Here is a 6,824-nt window from a genome sequence, read left to right as displayed (position 1 = left end):
TCCATGTGCCCTGGGCCACTTGAGTGCACTGCATTATAGATTCCTCGAGGGCATACGCTATCCATGTCCACCCCTGTTGCTGTTCCCTTACTGCAGGACTCAGTGGAGCTTGGCATAAACAAAATTTGTTTAATGAATGAACAAATGAATGAATTAGAAAATACTGCAGATACACTTTTGCAAGTCTTATGTCATCGATTTAATACCTTCTTTAATGAAAGGGACCTTATTTTCTTTAGAAAGGACACTAGATACCTCTAGAGAGAGAGATGCAAGGAGGTAATCACTGAATCACTGCCAATCTTTTGACAGTCTTCCCAGGCATCTTACCTCTGTATTCACCACAAGATAGAGGCAAATTCCTCCATTGTCTTATTTGTATATTATAATAGTCAAATATCCCTGTATTATGCTCTTTAATGCAATATATGCAATATGCATATGAGGCACATATATGCACATATTTAATATGTGCAATATGAGGCATATAACCAACAGAATTATATATTCCCTGGCTTTTACAACTGTAGTGGATCATAAATTGCTACTTAGTCCAGTAATATGGAAACTGAAGCCACAGAGGGGATATGACCTCACCTAAAGATGCACAGCGAGGGAGTGCAGAGTTGGGGCTCAAACCCAGGTTCTCTGCCTCCTAGACAAATTATATATTAAAAACAAAACAAAGGGAACACAAAACCAGTGATGGTCCTTTGTTCTGTTTCTTTGGGAAAGACTTGACCTCTGCAGTAGAAGTAATGGTCGTAGAGGACAGTTGGGGTATCTCCAGGCATATTGGTCAGCAGCCCCATCCAAATCATAAAAGCCTCCAGTAGAATGAGCCTTGCTGTCTCCCAGGCACCCTCCTTCCCTGCAGCACAGTAGAGGCAAGACAGGAGAAACAATGTGGACTCCAAAACATGTGCTTTGTTTATTTCAGGCAAGACTGCATGCTAATGGGAGAACAGTAGACAAGTTTCATATCCATAGTGTTCCCAGGCACACACCACTGGTTTATGTCTTTCTTTGACAAACCAGCCCTGTTCACAGTTTCTCCCTTTCTTCCATGCAAACCTCTTCCAAACTGTAGCTCTAATGCCTTCCCCAAGGAGGGGCTTGTGAAATAAAGCTGCGTTGCTCCACCCTTGACTTTTGCTGTTCTTCACTGATGTGGTTTTGTTCATTGCAATGTCATTAGCATGAATAGAGAATTCTAAAACCCCAACAACCAGGAATGATAATTGCACAGTTTTGACTTAGCCAGACCCTTTGCCAAACTGGATCGAGCTCCTACTGTGTTCTTTGCTAAACTTGCTGCTGCAGTCCTAAGAATTTAAACACTCAAAAGCGTCCTCCTTAATTTATTTATGTGTTTGTGTGTGTGTGTGTGTGTGTGTGTGTGTGTGTGTGTATGTATGTTTCATATATCTTATCAACCAAGGTTTGTTTTCCAAATTCTCTAAACTCAGACAGGAATTCAGGCGTTCCCACATAATAGTCAGCAACATAAGTCAGAACTCATGGTTCTTCCATGTCCACCAGATCTAGGGAGGGTTCTGGAATATGGGATTCAGTCTCTTTAATCAAGAACCTGGGAGAGAGGGACTGTACCTTCAGGGGCCCAGAAATTAGTACCATGAGGCTGAAATCTGTTCTTTAGTCTGCTGGTTTATGATGAAGAGGGCGACCAAGAAAAAATAGTATTTCCCTTAGCATTTATCAAAACCCATGACCCAAATCCCGGTTACTGCCTGGTTTTGAAAATGAAGTTTTATTGAAACCCAATCACATGTAAAGCCTAGTCATTGCAACAGAAACCATAAGGCCTGCAAAGGCCAGTATGTTTATTATCTGGCCTTTTACAGAACAAGTTTGATGGCACCTAGTCTAGACTGTCTGGAGACAGATAAGAAGGGCAGAGAAGGCTGGGTGCAGTGGCTCACACCTGTAATCCCAGCACTTTGAGAGGCCGAGGAGGGTGGATCACGAGGTCAGGAGTTCGAGACCAGCCTGGCCAATATGGTGAAACCCCTTCTCTACTAAAAAATACAAAAATTAGCCAGGTGTGGTGGTGGGTGCCTGTAGTCCCAGCTACTCAGGAGGCTGAGGCAGGAGAATTACTTGAACCCAGGAGGCGGAGTTTGCAGTGAGTCGAGTTCGCGCCACTGCACTCTAGCCTGGGCAACAAAATGAGACTCTGTCTCAGAAAAAAAAAAAAAAAAAAGAAGACTTAAAGTTGGTTGTCCAGTTCTCCTAAGAGAAGGGAGAAGATGAAGATGAGAACAAGAAGAAAGAAAGACAAATAGTGTGGGGAAGGAAAAAGGGATAGAGATATATGAGGGAGAAATTAGAGGGGGAAAAAAGGAGAAGGAGGTGGTAATAATAAAGGATAAAGAAGAGAAAAGAAGGCCAGGCATGATGGCTCATGCCTGTAATCCCGGCACTTTAGGAGGCCAAGGTAGGTGAATCACTCGAGGTTAGGAGTTTGAGACCAGCCTGGCCAACATGGCAAAACCCCATTTCTACTAAAAATACACAAATCAGCCAGGCATGGTGGTAGGTACCTATAATCCCAGCTACTCTGGAGGCTGAGGCAGGAGAATCACTTGAACCCAGGAGGTGGAGGTGGCAGTGAGCTGAGATCCACACCACTGCACTCCAGCCTGGGCAACAGAGCAAGACTCCATCCCAAAAAAAAAGAAAAAAAATAGAGTCAAAAAGTAAGGAGAGAGAAGAGAAAGGAAGAGAGAGAAAAAAGGGAGGAGTAAAGGGAGAGAGAGGCAAAGAAAGAAGGAGTGGGAGAGGTAAGAAATGTTTGCTAAGTGATAGTTCAGGCAATGTTTAGCCTGTGCATCCACAGAGCAGGCTAGTTTTATTAAACTGAGAATTAGCCATGCTGCAGATGAAATTGAAGATGTCTCAGAGCCATCCGTGCTTCTCCTCGGCTCCGGTGTGTTGGTACAAGGCACAGACCACCAGATGACTCACTCCTGCCTTGGAGATGTCTAATCTGTCTTTCGATGGCTTCCCTGCCAGCAATTCTTCCTGACATAGGTCCCTGTGTCCTCAGATGACTCAGCAACACCCATTACAACCAGCAGCCTCAGCCCAATTAAAGAGATAAATGCAAAGTAAAAATAGAGGGGAGAGGAACTGCAGAGCATCTGAAAACCTCGTTTGAGAGGATGGGACAGTTTTCCATTTCTCCACATGGAAGTAGTTCAACAGCTACCATGATTGTTATAGATATTTGTCATAATAAGTAACACGAGAAGGATAACTACATGTCACAAAATCATCTCAGTCCTTGTATGTATTTATCCATGAAGAGAGCCAAACTCTGTAAAATATTCGAAGAAATCTATTCTGAGCCAAATGTGAGGGCCATGACCCAGGACACAGCCCCCCAGGAGGTCCTGAGAACAAGAACATGTGCCCAAGGTGGTTGGGCTACAGCCTGGTTTTACATGTTTTAGGGAGACAAAAGACATCAATCAATACCTGTGAGGCATGCATTGGTGCAGTCTGATAGGGCGGGATAACCCGAAGTGGGGTAGAGGGTGGGGCACAAGTAAAAGGTAGAGTCAAAGTCCAAAGATTTTCTGATTTGCAATTGGTTGAAAGAGTTAAATTATTATAGAAATGCCTGGAATCAAGAGAAAGGACTTTCTGGGTTAAGAGAAGGAGTTGTGGAGACTAGGGTTCTTATGTGCATGAAGCCTCAGTGTTTCTATTCAGACCTCTAAAAGATGCTGGATTCTCAGATAGTCTCTTCAAGATTGGGAGGGCCTGGAATGGGGAAAGATCTTGTTATGTTAATAGAGAATATATATATAAGATGCATTTTTCCCCAACAAGAATGGCTTTGCAGGCCATTTAAAAATACGGCAAAGAAACATATTTGGAGGTAAAATATTTTGACTTCCTCCTTTATCTGTCATGTGATGTTCTGCCAAAGTTGGAAACTAAGCCATGTTATATAGCATGGAATAAAACCCCTCTGACAAGACTTTATTGTCTGTAGGATGTGACTCTTCAGGTCCCTTAGATAGGGCTTTGGGCAAGAGAAGAAAATGGTCGGAGTTTGGTCCTTATATTAATTTCATTTGCCCCTCACAATGACTAAATGGCATGGAGTTATAATTATTCATTCCTATTTACATATGAGGAAACTGAGTCACAGGTCAGTTAAGTAAGGTGTCCAGGATTATCCAGCTAAGTGGGAGATCTGAGATTGGTACAATTGGTACCTATGCAGGAGGGCGCCAGGATCTTTGCTTTAATCTTTACATGATGTTACTTCTTTAGCTGCTATAAACCCTCATAGACATCTTGGAAGACAGGTGGTTTTCTCATCTGGAAAGGGGCAAGGCTGTGATTTAAACACAGGTAGGTCACACCCCAGAGTCAGTGCTCCTTCCTCTTTTACTAATGAAACAGCATCATTACCCTGCAGAAGGTACTGGGCAAAATCACTTTGCGACAGAAGTTTAGGGTGGGAGAGAAAATGACCTACACTTTTTTTCCATTGTTCATGGTGAAGGAGACTCGTCCATGCCTCAGGCCCCAGCACCGTGGGAGCAGGCCCAGCCTAATTTTTGAGATCATTCAACCCTGCCAGTTTGGGGAAAACTAAGGACCCAGAAGCAGGAGATGAGAAGGAATGAAACAAGGACAGAATGTAATTAAGAGAAGTCAGATGTTTGGCCTCGATACAGGCTTGCAAAGCAGCCTCTCCAGGTTCACAAAGACCTGTCTTGGTTGCTGGAATTGCTTGTTCCCCACAGAGCTTCTTGGAGCTGCATAATCTCCAGAATTTCAGAAAGTTATTGTTCCTTGCTAAACGTGTTTTAATCAAATTGAGACTTCAAAGGCAGAAATCACAGTTGGGGATGAGCTGGGCTAGTCTGTAAATTACTAACTTTCTAATCAAGTTAGGAAGAACTGGGTGCCATTGACAACCCCCTTCCCATGTATTCACCCATTTGTTCATTCATTCATTCTCCCTTCTAGTCATCGATTCAACAAAGAACAACTGAGCAGCTTTTAAACTCCAGGTGGTGGGATATAAAAATGATTAAACACTCCTGCTCTATTGCCCTTGCCTATGGAGATGCTTTTGACATTTTGCATCCAATAGAATCACTTGGCAAGAAAATACAGACACCTAATTTTCACCTCCTGTGGGGCATTTCTACATCCTTTCTGGGTGATTCTAATACACATTAAGGGTTTTTTTTATTGAAACTTATACTTTTTATCTAGTGTTCTAAATTGAATCTCCATGTACATAATTTTATAATATTTTATAACTTTTAAGTGAAAATTCTTAAAGCAGGCATTTGCTCCCTTTACATTATATATATATATATTTAATTATACTTTAAGTTTTAGGGTACACGTGCACAACGTGCAGGTTTATTACATATGTGTACATGTGCCATGTTGGTGTGCTGTACCCATTAACTCGTCATTTAACATTAGGTATATCTCCTAATGCTATCCCTCCCCCCTCCCCCCACCCCACAACAGTCCCCAGAGTGTGATGTTCCCCTTCCTGTGTCCATGTGATCTCATTGTTCAATTCCCACCTATGAGTAAGAACATGTGGTGTTTGGTTTTTTGTCCTTGCGATAGTTTGCTGAGAATGATGGTTTCCAGCTTCATCCATGTCCCTACAAAGGATATGAATTCATCATTTTTTATGGCTGCATAGTATTCCATGTTGTATATGTGCCACATTTTCTTAATCCAGTCTATCATTGTTGGACATTTAGGTTGGTTCCAAGTCTTTGCTATTGTGAATAGTGCTGCAATAAACACACGTGTGCATGTGTCTTTATGGCAGCATGATTTATAATCCTTTGGGTATATACCCAGTAATGGGATGGCTGGCTCAAATGGTATTTCTAGTTCTAGATCCCTGAGGAATCGCCACACTGACTTCCACAATGGTTGAACTAGTTTACAGTCCCACCAACAGTGTAAGTGTTCCTATTTCTCCACATCCTCTGCAGCACCTGTTGTTTCCTGACTTTTTAATGATTGCCATTCTAACTGGTGTGAGATGGTATCTCATTGTGGTTTTGATTTGCATTTCTCTGATGGCCAGTGATGATGAGCATTTTTTCATGTATCTTTTGACTGCATAAATGTCTTCTTTTGAGAAGTGTCTGTTCATATGCTTCACCCACTTTTTGATGGGGTTGTTTGTTTTTTTCTTGTAAATTTGTTTGAGTTCATTGTAGATTCTGGATATTAGCCCTTTGTCAGATGAGTAGATTGCAAAAATTTTCTCCCATTCTGTAGGTTGCCCGTTCACTCTGATGGTAGTTTCTTTTGCTGTGCAGAAGCTCTTTAGTTTAATTAGATCCCATTTGTCAATTTTGGCTTTTGTTGCCATTGCTTTTGGTGTTTTAGACATGAAGTCCTTGCCCATGCCTATGTCCTGAGTGGTATTGCCTAGGTTTTCTTCTAGGGTTTTTATGGTTTTAGGTTTTTTGTTTGTTTGTTTTTTTTTTTTGGTTGTTGTTGTTGTTAGAGTTTTGCTCTTGTAGCCCAGGCTGGAATGCAGTGGTGAGATCTCGGCTTACTGTAACCTCTGCTTCCTGGGTTCAAGCAATTTTCCTGCCTTAGCCTCCCGAGTAGCTGGGATTACAGGCACCCACCACCACGCCTGGCTAATTTTTGTATTTGTAGTAGAGACTGGGTTTTGCCATGTTGGCCAGGCTGGTCTTGAACTCCTGACCTCAGGTGATCCACCCACCTCGGCTTCCCAAAGTGCTGGGATTAGAGCTGTGAGCCACCACACCCAGCCATATAAT

At 42.3% G+C, this 6,824-nt stretch overlaps 1 protein-coding gene across 7 annotated transcripts in view; it reads left to right on the top strand.

Moving 5' to 3' along the window:
• GRIN2A (glutamate ionotropic receptor NMDA type subunit 2A) overlaps nucleotides 1-6,824 on the top strand; it is a 429,505-nt gene that overhangs the window by 391,944 nt on the left and 30,737 nt on the right. The gene's annotated exons all lie outside the window — the stretch shown is intronic.

The sequence above is a fragment of the Homo sapiens genome, chromosome 16 (genome assembly GCF_000001405.40).
Source record: "Homo sapiens chromosome 16, GRCh38.p14 Primary Assembly".
Lineage (NCBI taxonomy): Eukaryota > Metazoa > Chordata > Mammalia > Primates > Hominidae > Homo > Homo sapiens.
This window is presented reverse-complemented; position numbering and strand designations above follow the sequence as displayed.